The 13831-nt window shown below is 42.6% G+C and overlaps 1 protein-coding gene across 5 annotated transcripts in view; it reads right to left on the bottom strand.

Moving 5' to 3' along the window:
* Positions 1 to 13831, bottom strand: part of PTPN11 (protein tyrosine phosphatase non-receptor type 11) — a 90972-nt gene that overhangs the window by 52169 nt on the left and 24972 nt on the right. For 3 of the 5 annotated variants that reach the window (NM_001330437.2, NM_002834.5, NM_080601.3), the window contains exons 2-6: positions 11352 to 11474; positions 7238 to 7432; positions 4363 to 4555; positions 3070 to 3186; positions 1687 to 1800 (exon numbers count right to left, since the gene is read on the bottom strand). In NM_001330437.2, the coding sequence (NP_001317366.1) occupies positions 1687 to 1800; positions 3070 to 3186; positions 4363 to 4555; positions 7238 to 7432; positions 11352 to 11474 (742 nt within the window). The remainder of the gene's footprint in view (positions 1 to 1686; positions 1801 to 3069; positions 3187 to 4362; positions 4556 to 7237; positions 7433 to 11351; positions 11475 to 13831) is intronic. The other 2 variants (XM_011538613.3, NM_001374625.1) reach the window with 1 other exon arrangement.

Below are 13831 nucleotides of genomic sequence, written 5' to 3'. Positions count from 1 at the left end.
CCATCAGGGACATTCTCCAACCCAAGTTAGTTTCAGGAAAGAGATCAGTTCACTTAAAGTCAGGAAACAACAGATGCTGGAGAAGATGTGGAGAAATAGGAATGCTTTTACACTGTTGGTGGGAGTGTAAATTAGTTGAACCATTGTGGAAGACAGTGTGGTGACTCCTCAAGGATCTAGAACCAGAAATACCATTTGACCCAGCAATCCCATTACTGGGTATATACCCAAAGGATTATAAAACATTCTACTATAAAGACATATGCACACATATGTTTATTGCAGCACTATTTACAATAGCAAAGACTTGGAACCAACCCAAATGCCCATCAATGATAGACCGGATAAAGAAAATGTGGCACATACACACCATGGAATACTATGCAGCCATAAAAAAAGAATGAGTTCATGTCCTTTGCAGGGTCATGGATGAAGCTGGAAACCATCATTCTCAGCAAACTAACACAGGAACAGAAAACCAAACAATGAGAACACATGGACACAGGGAGGGGAACATCACACACACTGTCTGGGGATGGGGGCAAACTCCTGGATTCAAGTGGTCCACCTGCCTCACCCTCTCAAAGTGCTGAGATTACAGGAGTGAGCCACCACGCCCAGCCTATCATCACTTTTTCACTGATGCATTAAAGGGGAGGGAGAGCATTAGGACAAACACCTAATGCATGCAGGACTTAAAACCTAAATGATGGGTTAATGTGTGCAGCAAACCATGATGGCACATGTATACCTATGTACAAACCTGCACGTTCTGCACATATATCCCAGAACTTAAAGTATAATCAACAAAAATAATTTAAAAAAAAAAGAAATCAGTTCACTTAACTTACCAGAGTTATCAATTTGAACTCTGAAATTAAAGCCACCACATTTGGCACGTCAAAGCTGGAGGATCACTTGAGCCCAAGAGTTCAAGACCAGCCTGGGCAACACTGCAAAACCCCATCTCTACAAAAAAATACAAAAATTAGATGGGCATGGTATCGTGTGCCTGTAGTCCCAGCTACTCGGGAAGCTTAAGTAGGAGGATCACTTGAGCCCAAGAGTTCAAGACCAGCCTGGGCAACACTGCAAAACCTCATCTCTACCAAAAATACAAAAATTAGCCAGGCATAGGGGCATGTGCCTGTAGTCCCAGCTACTCAGTAGGCTGAGATGGGAAGATCACTTGAGCCCAGGGAGGACGGGGCTGCAGTAAACCGAGATCACGCCACTACACTCCAGCTTCGGCGACAGAGCGAGACCCTGTCTCAAAAAAAAAAAAAAAAAAGCCACCACAAGGTGTTTCTCTTTTACTCATACTCATTTGCTGCACTAAGGCTATAGATTGTTTCTAAAGACCCCAGTGCATGCTGGAAATCTTTCGAAGAAATTAGATCCTTTTGTTTCTCTGAGATTTTGCCACCAGTCCAAACCAAAAGAGCCAAATGGAGCGGCTAGCACATCCATTGACTACTCACTGCCAACTCCCTTCCCTCAGAACACAATGCTCTTCTGTTTCGAAGAAGCCCTCTCAGCAACTTGCTCCGTGTCAATCAATGGCCGAATTAAAAAAGGACGTCAGTTTCAAGTCTCTCAGGTCCAATTCCAAACACAAGAGCAACTTCTCCTCCACTAAAAATAGGATATAACAACTCACGTAAAAACAGTTTTTTAATAACTTACCTCAAATTCTTCCCAAAAGCCTTGTTTGACTTTATCTGTGGTCTCAGCTAATTTGCTTAGTTCTCGAACTCTGCTTTCTATTTCAGCAGCATTTATACGAGTCGTGTTAAGGGGCTGATCGAGTACAGCAGTTGATGTAAAATAAAGAAAATATTACAGAAAACGGTGTTAATGCAAAAAAAAAAAAAAAAACATGTCTATGTTGATATTCATAAAGGCACGGACAGAGGGTTCATAGGACCCTGTAATTCACAATAAAAGTTTTCAAATCGTTTCACCGTGTTTTCTGTTCAGCCAGAAAATGTATCTTTCTTCAGTCTTCACATACACTTTACTCTGCTGATATAAATTCAAGCCTATTTTTCTTTATGAATAGACCACATTATTTAGAGAGATTATATCATTTTCCACTATCATAAAGGTGAAATTTGAAATAGCAACAATGCCAAAGTGAATAAGTGAGGTTACCTAAAGGTAACCAGAAGTGGATCTATAATGAAAACTTGCTTTAAAACTCTGTACAGCCTTAGGCCAGATGCAGTGGCTCATGCCTATAATCCCAGCACTTTGAGAGGCTGAGGCAGGCAGATCACTTGAGGTCAGGAGTTCAAGACCAGCCTGGCTAACATGGTGAAACCCCATCTCTACTAAAAATACAAAAATTAGCTGGGTGTAGTGGCACCACCTATAATCCCAGCTACTCAGGAGGCTGAGGCAGGAGAAGCTCTTGAACCCGGGACGCAGAGGTTGCAGTGAGCCAAGAACACGCCACTGCACTCCAGCCTGGGCGACAGAGCAAAACTCCATCTCAAAAAAAAAAAAAAAAAAAAAGAACCTCTGTAATGCCTTTTACAGATAAATATGGGAATAATATAAATCTGGAATATGTTTCCAAGTACTATAGCGGCAGTCAGTGAGTGGAATCATAATAAGAAAAGATTTAGGGCCGGGCGTGGTAGCTCACGCCTGTAATCCCAAAACTTCGGGAGGCCAAGGCGGGCAGAAAACCTGAGGTCGGGAATTCAAGACCAGCCAGGCCAACATGGTGAAACCCCATCTCTATTAAAAACACAAAAACTAGCCGGGCATGGTGGTGGGCACCTGTAGTCCCAGCTACTCAGGAGGCTGAGGCAGGAGAATCGCTTGAACCCAGGAAGCAGAGGTTGTAGTGAGCCAAGATTGCAACACTGTACTCCAGACTGGGTGACAGAGTAAGACTGTCTCAAAAAAAAAAAAAAAAAAAAAGATTTGATAGTTGAAGCTGCAATGGGTACATGGAGGCTGATGATACTATTCTGTCTACCTCTGTATGTTTGCAAAATTCTCTATTAGGATTTGTTTTAAGTTTTTAAGGAGAAAGCTTGAGCTTTCCAATCTGCTCACCTGCTTGAGTTGTAGTACTGTACCCAATGTTTCCACCATAGGATTCTTCTTATAATGTTCCACAAGATCTGTCAAAGAATCAAACCGTTCTCCTCCACCAACGTCGTATTTCAGTTCCTTTCAAGATAAACACATGACATTTATTATTTGTTACCTTTATGTTACATTAGTGTTTTCAAGCACTCTCATGTTCACTGCAGCATTATTCACAATAGCTAGTATATAGAGACAACTTAAATGTCCATCAAAAGACAGATAATAGGCTGGGTGCAGTGGCTCACGCCAGTAATTCCAGCACTTTGGGAGGCCAAGGCGGGCAGATCATTTGAGGTCAGGAGTTCGAGACCAGCCTGGCCAACATGGTAAAACCCCATATCCACTAAAAATACAAAAATTAGCCAGGCTTGGTGGTGGACACCTGTAATCCCTGCTACTCAGGAGGGTGAGGCACGAGAATCACTTGAGCCCAAGAGGCAGAGGTTGCAGTGAGCCAACTGTGCTTCAGCCTGGGAGACAGAGGGAGACTCTGTCTCAAAAAAAAGATAAATAATAAAAATGTGGTGTGTGTATACAAATATACTAAAAGTGTAAATATACTCAATATACTCAAGTATGATAAGTATAATAATATATTAAATATGCTAATATACTAATACAGTAACTATACTAATATATTAAGTATAATAAAAGCATAGACGAACTTGACTAAGTAAGCAAAGAAAATCTGACTTTGGATCAGGCACAGTAGTTCACATCTGTAATCCTAACACTTTGAGAGGTTGAAGGAGGCAGGCCTCTTGAGCACTAGTTCAAGACCACACTGGGCAATGCGGCAAAACACCATCTCCACAAAAAATACAAACACTAGCTGGGCATGGTGGCACACACCTGTAGTCCCAGCTACTCAAGAGGCTGAGGGAAGATCAACTGAGCCCAGGGAGGTTGCACTCCAGCCTGCGTGACAGAGCAAGACCCAGTCTCAAATGAATAAACAAATGAATATTAAAAAAACAAAAACAAAAAAAAAAAAAAAACAGAAAATCTGACTTTGAATGTAATGGTGTTTGTCCTCTTCCAGCAGAAAAATCACCCAAAGATTTGGGTCACCAGACCCAACGTGGTGAAACCCCATCTGTAGGTGATAGAGCAAGACCCTGTCTCAAATAAATAAATAAATAAATAAATAAATAAAAGACAATCTGACTTTGAATGTAATGGTGTCTGTCTTCTGTCAGCAGAAAAATCACCCAAAGGTAACATCTTGCCAGACCCATTTTTCAACTGGAGATTTACCTGACAGCGAATCATAACATGGGTCACTTTAGACTTGCCGTCATTGCTCTCCCCTTTGTCATCACCAGTGCGCACAGAAAGAACAAAATCTCCAGGGTGGCTCTGGCTCTCTCGTACAAGAAAACTACCATGTTTTCCTTTTTCAGTTAATAATTTCTCTGCTTCTTTCCCAGAGAGATGTCCATGAAACCACCTAAAGTTTTTAAAAAATAAAAAAGAATTTAGCTCTACTATGGGTTCATGTTGTTCTTTCACAAAACTACTGTATACAGTCAGCTCTCCTAAACACAATTAAAAAGTAGACACATTCCTCCAAGGGATTGATCAATCCCACCTGAGACAGAAAATCTGCATCCCATGCAGGCAGGAAAAACCACAAAGATGGTAAGAATGACCACTAAACTTCTTAAATGAGTCCACAGTCCTTTAGAGACAAATGCCCCAATCTTTCCTGTTTTTTTTTAAATCCCTCCTCTTTTAAAAATGCAATTTGCCATTCGTCCATTGCCCAATCTTAAAAGGACCAACTGTTTAATTATAGCCATTTAAAGAAGTTACAGGCCATGCATAGTGGCTTATGCCTGTAATCCCAACACTTTGGAAGGCCAAGGCAGGAAGATCACTTGAGGCCAGGAGTTCAAGACCAGTCTGGGCAACACAGTGAAATCCCCATCTTCACAAAACAATTAAAAATTAGCCTGGCATGGTGGCAACTGCCTGTAATCCCAGCTATACACAAGGCCGAGGCAGGAGGATCACTTGAGTCCAGGAGGTCGAGGCTGCAGTGCGCTATGATCATGCCACCGCACTCCAGCTTGGGTGACAGAGCAAGACCCTGTCTCAAGAAAAAAAAATAAAAGTCGGCCGGACGTGGTGGCTCATGCCTGTAATCCCAACACTTTGGGAGGCCGAGGCAGGTGGATCACCTGAGGTCAAGAATTCGAGACCAGCCTGACCAACATGGTGAAACCCTGTCTCTGCTAAAAATACAAAATTGGCCGGGTGTGGTGGCAAGTGCCTGTAATCCCAGCTACTCAGGAGGCTGAGGCAGGAGAATCACTTGAACCTGGGAGGCGGAGGTTGCAGTGAGCTGAGATCGCACCATTGCACTCCAGCCTGGGTGACGAGCGAAACTCCATCTCAAAAAAAATAAATAAATAATTTGTAAAAATAAAGTCAAAATAAAGAAGTTGTAATAAAAAGTTGTAATAGAGACAGGCACGGTGGCTCACGCCTATAATCCCAGCACTTTGAGAGGTCAAGGTGGGCGGATCACCTGAGTTCAGGAGTTTGAGACCAGCCTGGCAAACATGACAAAACCCTGTCTCTACTAAAAATACAAAAATTAACTGGGCATGGTGGCACATGCCTGTAGTCCCAGCTACTCGGGAGGCTGAGGCAAGAGAATTACTTGAATCTGGGAGGCGGAGGTTGTAGTGAGCCGAGATCGCGTCACTTGACTCCAGCCTGGGTGACAGAGTGAGACTCCATCTCAAATAAATAAATTAAAAAAAAGAAAGAAAAAGTTGTAACAGAGACAGAAAATCATTTTGAATGTTTGTCCTTGCCTTGGCATGTGAACACTCAATTAAAAAGGATCTTCATTATAAATTAATTCAAACATTCCAACCTTTTCCATATATACAACCTATACTTCAACAGCCTCCAGTGTCTTTGGACTATATCCTGGGTGATCATCTCAAACTGTATAATGCACATAAGACTTGGAGTAAAAATGAGGGATTTTGCTAAAAATATGAATTCCCAGGCTCCACAACCAGCAATATCAATACATGTAAGTCTGAATGAGGCCCAGGAATCTGCATTTTAACCAGCACATCAGACAGTCCTGATGTAGGCATCCAAAGCCATCCAAGGACAGACTTTGAGACAATACTGCTCCATGTTTTTTGGGAAGCATCTTAACATAGTTCTAATAATAAAGTGGCTTTTTCCCTCAGGATCTTGGTCAGAAAGCAAGTACTATCATGGCAGGTGGTGTTAAGGGCTCATCATCAAAAGAATAAACTTTGAGTTATTCTTCATCCATACTCAACTGAAAACAGTAAAATTTAGAAATAAACTGTACAGAGTTGGCTGACAGCCTTTTGCCTGAAGCTACGGTGGTAGCTAGAGAAACAAATTATCAGCACATAATAGCACTGACATAAAGGTATAAGCTGAAAAAATCATACCTGAAGACACAAAATATACAAACTAACTAAGAGATCCTGAATTTGCACCAAGTCAGAGAGGAGATTGGGAATGTACAAAACGAATACAATCAATAAATAAGTCAAGCCCATGCTTTCATCAGCCTAGTTCCAACACAGGGGGAAAGATCTCGAAAATAACATAATTTTCTCTAAGCAAGGTCATTCTCACATAATTGTGGTGATAACATTAAAAGAACTGATGAAAAAGCTGACCCTCTGAGCTCTCTGCTTTTCCACTTCTGAGCTTAAACTGACATCTGTTGGTGACATTGCTGAATAACTGGTCGAGAGCCACCATAGAAAACTGCTGCTATTTTGGTGTCTCCATTATCATTTGTTTTCCTCTAATAACTCTCAAAGATTATCTGCTGAAGTTCAATAAGTCTTAAAACTAATACACGTACCAAGTATATGCAGGAATGGTATGCAACCCCTATAGGATGAGTGTAAGTAACACTGATTAAAACTTTTGCAGGAAAAAGGTACTCTGAAAATAATTTGATGCTATTAGTCTCACTTTAGTAATTCTTTAAAGATTACAGCTCAAAAAACAGTCACAAGCCTTTGGAGTCAGAGAGTCATACACAGACCGTCATGCATTTCTGACACTCAGGGCACAAGGGAGCAGCAGACTTTGTGGTCACTAAAATGTTACTGACCTTTCAGAGGTAGGATCTGCACAGTTCAGAGGATATTTAAGCTCAATGACATCTCCATTCTTCTCTTTTAATTGCCCGTGATGTTCCATGTAATACTGGACCAACTCAGCCAAAGTGGCAAATTTCTCCCCTCCATACAGGTCATAGTAATCACCAGTGTTCTGAATCTTGATGTGGGTGACAGCTCCATTTCTTCTAAAATAGTCCATTGGAAAGGGAGGCAAGGGGACAAATAAAGAGTTACACCAGTAAAATCAGATCTCATCTTCCACGTCGGATTTTACCTAAGTGTTGAAAGAAACCCAAGGAACGAATTTACCTATTCCCTATAAGAAATACGATGGGTGAAATAACCACATGTCAACCAACTCAACACAAAGGTCTTTATTAGTATCTTTACCTTGCATATCTTTTTTTTTTTTTTTTGAGATGGAGTTTCGCTCTTATTGCCCAGGCTGGAGTGCAATGACGTGATCTCGGTTCACCGCAACCTTCGCGGTGGATTTACATACATTATAAATCCAGGTTCAAGTGATTCTCCTACCTCAGCCTCCCAAGAAGCTGGGATTACAGGAATGCGCCACCACGCTCAGCTACTTTTGTATTTTTAGTAGAGATGAGGTTTCTCCATGTTGGTCAGGCTGGTCTGAAACTCCTAACCACAGGTGATCCACCCACCTCGGCCTCCCAAAGTGCTGAGATTACAGGCGTGAGCCACCACGCCCGGCCTACCTTGTATATCTTCTATTTTGAATGACTGGCCTATCGAATTGCATATATTAAGTGACAATAACTGTATAGCTACCAAAACACTTGTACAAAAATATTCATTGCCACTTTATTCATAATAGAAAAACATTTTGTTTTTTAATCATAAAAATGTATAAACAAATAGTGCTACATTACTATTCATACAATGGAATACTATGCATTATAAAAATTGTTGTGTTACTACTCATACAATGGAATACTATGCAGCAATTTTTTTGTTTGTTTGTTTGTTTTTGAGACAGAGTCTCACTCCATCACCCAGGCTGGAGTGCAGTGGTGCAATCTTGGCTCACTGCAAGCTCCACGTCCCGGGTTCACACCATTCTCCTGCCTCAACCTCCCAAGTAGCTGGGACTACAGGCGCCCGCCACGACGCCCAGCTAAATTTTTTTGTATTTTTAGTAGAGACGGGGTTTCACCATGTTAGCCAGGATGGTATTGGTCTCCTGACCTCATGATCCGCCGCCTGCCTTGGCCTCCCAAAGTGCTGGGATTACAGGCGTGAGCCACTGTGCCCGGCCACTATGCAGCAATTAAGAAAAAAAAAAAAGTGATGGCCAGGCATGGTGGCTCACGTCTGTAATCCCAGCACTTTGGGAGGCTGAGGTGGGAGGATCACCTGAGGTCAGCAGACCGATACCAGCCTGGCCAACATGGTGAAACCCCGTCCCTACTAAAAATACAAAAATTAGCTGGGCGTGGTGGCAGGCACCTGTAATCTCACCTACTGGGGAGGCTGAGGCAGGAGAATCGCTTGAACCCGGGAGGCGGAAGTTGCAGTCGGCCGAGATCTCACCACTGCACTCCAGCCTGGGCAACAAGAGTGAAACTCCCACTCAAAAAAAATAAAAATAAAAATAAAAAGACACATGTAATTTTAAAGACACATGTAATGACACAGTTTCCAATACGAGGTAGTGTTATCCCAAAGCACAAAACAATATATGCAAAAGGTTACTATATTCATTGAGGCATTATATATCATTTTAAAATATTAGACACAACTAAATCGCTACCTGCTGGTGACAGTATATAGAAGTTATAAAATATTCACATGATAGAATGCGATCCAGCTGATTAAAAAGATGAGAGAGATCACTAAAAGATTTAGGTAACTGAAAAAAATTACAGAGAAATATATTTAATGTTCTACTTGATGTGTAAAAATAAAAGGAAAATAGTAATAAAAATATTAATTTGCTTATTTTTATAAAAAGAAACATAGGGCCAGGCATGGTGGCTCATGCCTATAATCCCAGCACTTTGGGAGGCTGAGACAGGCAGATCCCTTGAGGCCAAGAGTTGGAGATTAGCCTGGACAACATGGTGAAACCCCATCTCTACTAAAAATACACAAATTAGCTGGGTGTGGTAGTGTACACCAGGCGCTGTAATCCCAACTACTTAGGTGGCTGAGTCATGAAAATCACTTGAACCCAGGAGGTGGAGGTTGCGGTGAGCCAAGATCACACCACTGCACTCCAGTCTGGGCAACAGAGCAAGATTGTCTCAAAAAAAAAAAAGAAAAAAAGAAAAAGAATGAAAGAAACACAGAAGGGTAAACAAGAAATTAATAGAAATGGCTACCTACAGAATGGAGATAGTGTGCAAGGGAGTAGGAGTAAGAATGAGATTTCTCAGGCCAGGCGCGATAGCTCATGCCTGTAACCCCAGCACTTTGGGAAGCCAAGGCAGATGGATCACTTTAAGTCAGGAGTTCAGGACCAGCCTGGCCAACATGGTAAAACCTAGTCTCTACAAAAAATACAAAAATTAACTTGGCATGGTGGTACATGTCTGTAATCCCAGCTACTCAGGAGGCTGAGGCAGGAGAACTGCTTGAACTCAGGAGGCAGAGGTTGCAGTGAGCCAAGATTGTGGCCACTGCACTCCAGCCTGGGAAAAAGAGCAAGACTTTGTCTCAAAAAAAAAAAAAAAAAAAGGCCAGGCATGGTAGCTCATGCCTGTAATTCCAGCACTTTGGGAGGCCAAGGCAGGCAGATCACCTGAGGTCAGGAGTTTGAGACCAGCCTGGTCGACATGGTGAAACCCCATCTCTACTAAAAATACAAAAATTAGCTGGGCATGGTGGCATGCACCTGTAATCCCAGCCACTCCGGAGGCTGAGACAGGAGAATAGCTTGAACCCAGGAGGCTGAGGTTGCAGTGAGCTGAGATCACGCCATTGCACTTCAGCCTGGGCAATAAGACTGAAACTCCATCTCAAAAAAAAAAAATAGATCGTTATCAATCAGCATGGAGCTCAAAAAAAAATTTTTAAGTTGCAAAATGATACATACATTATAAATCCATGTATGTGAATTTTTTAAACACACAAACCAACTTTATATTGTTCATACACAGTACAAGTGCAGTACAACTATAAAAACACGTTCAGGAAGAATATATGCCAACCTCTTGGTGGTTTCCTCTGGGGAAAGAGGGAGGGAAACGGGCCTGGGCAGGGAAGCAAAGGGGACCACAACTTCCTCAGTCATGTTTTACTTGTTGATAAAGGAAAGTGATCTGAAGAAACTCTTAACAAGTATTTTTCTTATTAAGAAGTCAACAAAGTCTGAGTGTGGTGGCTCATGCCTGTAATCCCAACACTTTGGGAGGCTGAGGCAGGAGGATCACTTGAGGCTAAGAGTTAAAGATCAGCCTTGGTAATACAGTGAGACCTCATCTCTACAAAAAATATTTTTTAAAAATGCTGAGCATGGTGGCACAAGCCTGGAGTCCCAGCTACCCGGGAGGCTGAGGCGGGAGGATCACTTAAGCCCAGGAGTTCAAGGCTGCTGTAAGCTGTGATCGTACCACTGCACTCCAGCCTGGGCAACAGAGCAACAGCTTGTCTCAAAAAAAGAAGGCCAGGCATAGTGGCTCACGCCTGTAATCCTAACACTTTGGGAGGCCGAGGCAGGATTGCTTGAGGCCAGAAGTTCAAGGCCAACCTGGCCAACATTGGAAGATCCCACCTCTATTTAAAAAAAAAAAAAAATTGAAAAGAAATAAAATTTTTAAATAAATCAACAGGAAGGAAAAGAAAAATGCAGAAACCAGGTTCAAGATGTGTGGAACAAGTCTCAAGCACTGGAGGGCTTAAGAACTTCTATGACCTGCTCCAACTCACCTTCCATGAGGTCTCAGAGGGAGAAGAAGGGCCCTCCTTACTCCTCTTCTGCTAAATGTCCAGGAGGCCACTCCCCAAACCCTGAAGGCAGCCCAGGGCTCAGATAAGGCCTTCAAACTCGAAATGCAGGCAGCAAGCTATCCAAGCATGGTTTTACCACTTCCTACCTAGAAAACACTCTCAGGATCCTCTCTTTTCATTCCAACTTACCTAACGGAAAGTGTGAAGTCTCCAGGGTTACTTTTACTAGGCCTTGCCAAAAAACTGCCATCAACTCCTCTTGTCAACAGTAGGTTTTCTGCCTCCACACCAGTGATATTTGGGTGAAACCATCTTAAAAAGAAAGACAAAGTAAGTAATAAAAAAACAAGACACTGTCAGCACTACTTTCCACAACAACACAGCTAAGACGCATTATGAGCAGAGTAGAAAATTTTAGAAAATACAAATCAAGACCTTCCCTGTCCCTTCCCCCTCTTCTCCTTGGTCAATGCCTCCTCCCTGCCTTTCCCTTGGTAGAGACCTGGGATTCAGTAGGGGTGTCTGGGGATATGATCAGAGGGACTGGGGGCTAGGGTATTAAGACAGTGCACTGAGGGGGCCAGGCCCAAGAAAACAGACCACGTGCTCGCAAGACTGAGCACATGGAATAAAAATAAATAAACTAGAGGCAGGGCACGGTGGCTCACGCCTGTAATCCCAGGACTTTGGGAGGCCGAGGCAGGCAGATCAGCTGGGGTCGGGAGTTCCAGAGCAGCCTGACCAACATGGAGAAACCCATCTCTACTAAAAATACGAAATTAGCTGGGCATGGTGGTGCATGCCTGTAATCCCAGCTACTTGAGAAGCTGAGGCAGGAGAATCGCTTGAACCCAGGAGGCAGAGGTTGCGGTGAGCCAAGATCACACCACTGCACTCCAGCTTGGGCAACAAGAGCGAAACTCAATCTCAGAAAAAAAAAAAAAAAAAGAATAAGTTTCTTAATAAATAAGTTACCATGTTGAGGATAGCAAGCCAGGTTTCTCACTGTTGGGGAGACACAAATATGAGAAGGGAGAAAGCCAGAATAAATCCCATGATGTTAGATTGTAATTGGAGGTATTAGTGCAAACTGTAATTTTTAATATATACATGTAAAGACAGAAATGTAGATATAGAAATAGATATGTATGCTTCTGGATGGGAACAGTGGCTCACGCCTATAATCCCAGCACTTTGGGAGGCCGAGGCGGGCAGATCACTTGACGTCAGGAGTTCAAGACCATCCTGGCCAATGTGGTGAAACCCCATCTCTACTAAAAATACAAAAATTAGGTGGGCGTGGTGGTGGACACCTGTAATCCCAGCTACTCAGGAGGCTGAGACAGGAGAATTGCTTGAATCCAGGAGGCAGAGGTTGCAGTGAGCCATGATCGTGCCACTGTACTCCAGCCTGGGCGACAGAGCAAGACTCCATCTCAAAAAAATAATAATAATACAGAAATACATGCTTCGGGGTATGTGTATGTGTATGTGCTTTTATGAATACACACACACACACACATATATATATACACACACACACACATTTCCTAGGTCTCTTCTGAAAGGGTTTGGAAGCAATGACACTCCAGTAGCAATCACACCTAACACCTCTATCTTGGTTTCTACATATTGGGTTTTCCATTCTCCAATGAAAGGAACTGGCCTCCTTGAAGAAATGGCTGATCCCAGCGTTGGGGCAGTAAAAGTAAGAAGATGAACTTGGAACATCCTATTGTGGGCCAGTAAGAGTTCCAACAAGGAGCTATGAAAAGGACACAGGAGACAAACTGCAGGATCCTCTGCTGGCCAAAGTAGGGACAATTTGTACCTCAAAATAAACAATGATAGTAACAGATTATAACCCACTGAATAAAACAGGAAATAGTTCATTCTCTTAGTTTCCTATTTTTTTAACTAATTGTTTGTTTAAAAATTGAAACATGGAGGCCAGGTGCGGTGGCTCACACCTGTAATCCCAGAATTTTGGGAGGCTGAGGCAGGCAGATCACCTGAGGTCGGGAGTTCGGGAGCAGCCTGACCAACATGGAGAAACCCATCTCTACTAAAAATACAAAATTAGTTGGGCGTGGTGGCGCGTGCCTGTAATCCCAGCTACTTGAGAGGCTGAGGCAGGAGAATCGCTTGAACCCGGGAGGCGGAGGTTGCAGTGAGCCAAGATCGTGCCACTACACTCCAGCCTGGGTGACAGAGTGAGACCTTGTCTCAAAAAAGAAAAAAAAAAAACTTGGAAGTACCATATGATCCAGAAATTCCACTTCCAGGTATATACTCAAAGTAATTGAAAACACGGATTCAAATTGGTATTTTTCTATAACTCATATTCACAGCAGCATTATTTGCAAAGCCAAAAGGTGAAAGAAAACAGTGTCTATAGATGGATGAATAGACAAACATTCTAAGTGAACTAAGCCAGTCACTAAAGGACAATGCTATAGTTTGAATGCCGCTCCCCTGAGGTTGAAACTTAATCCTCAGCCAGGCACAGTGGTTCACGCCTATAATCCCAGCACTTTAGGGGGCTGTGATGGGAAGATCACTTGAGCCCAGGAGTTCAAGACCAGCCTGGGCAATATAGTGAAACCCCATCTCTACAAAAAATGCAAAAATTAGGGCCAGGCGCAGTGGCTTACACCTGTAATCCTAGC

Source organism: Homo sapiens, chromosome 12 (assembly GCF_000001405.40).
Source record: "Homo sapiens chromosome 12, GRCh38.p14 Primary Assembly".
NCBI lineage: Eukaryota > Metazoa > Chordata > Mammalia > Primates > Hominidae > Homo > Homo sapiens.
The sequence above is the reverse complement of the archived record's forward strand: the minus strand, read 5'-3'. Positions and strand labels throughout refer to the sequence as shown.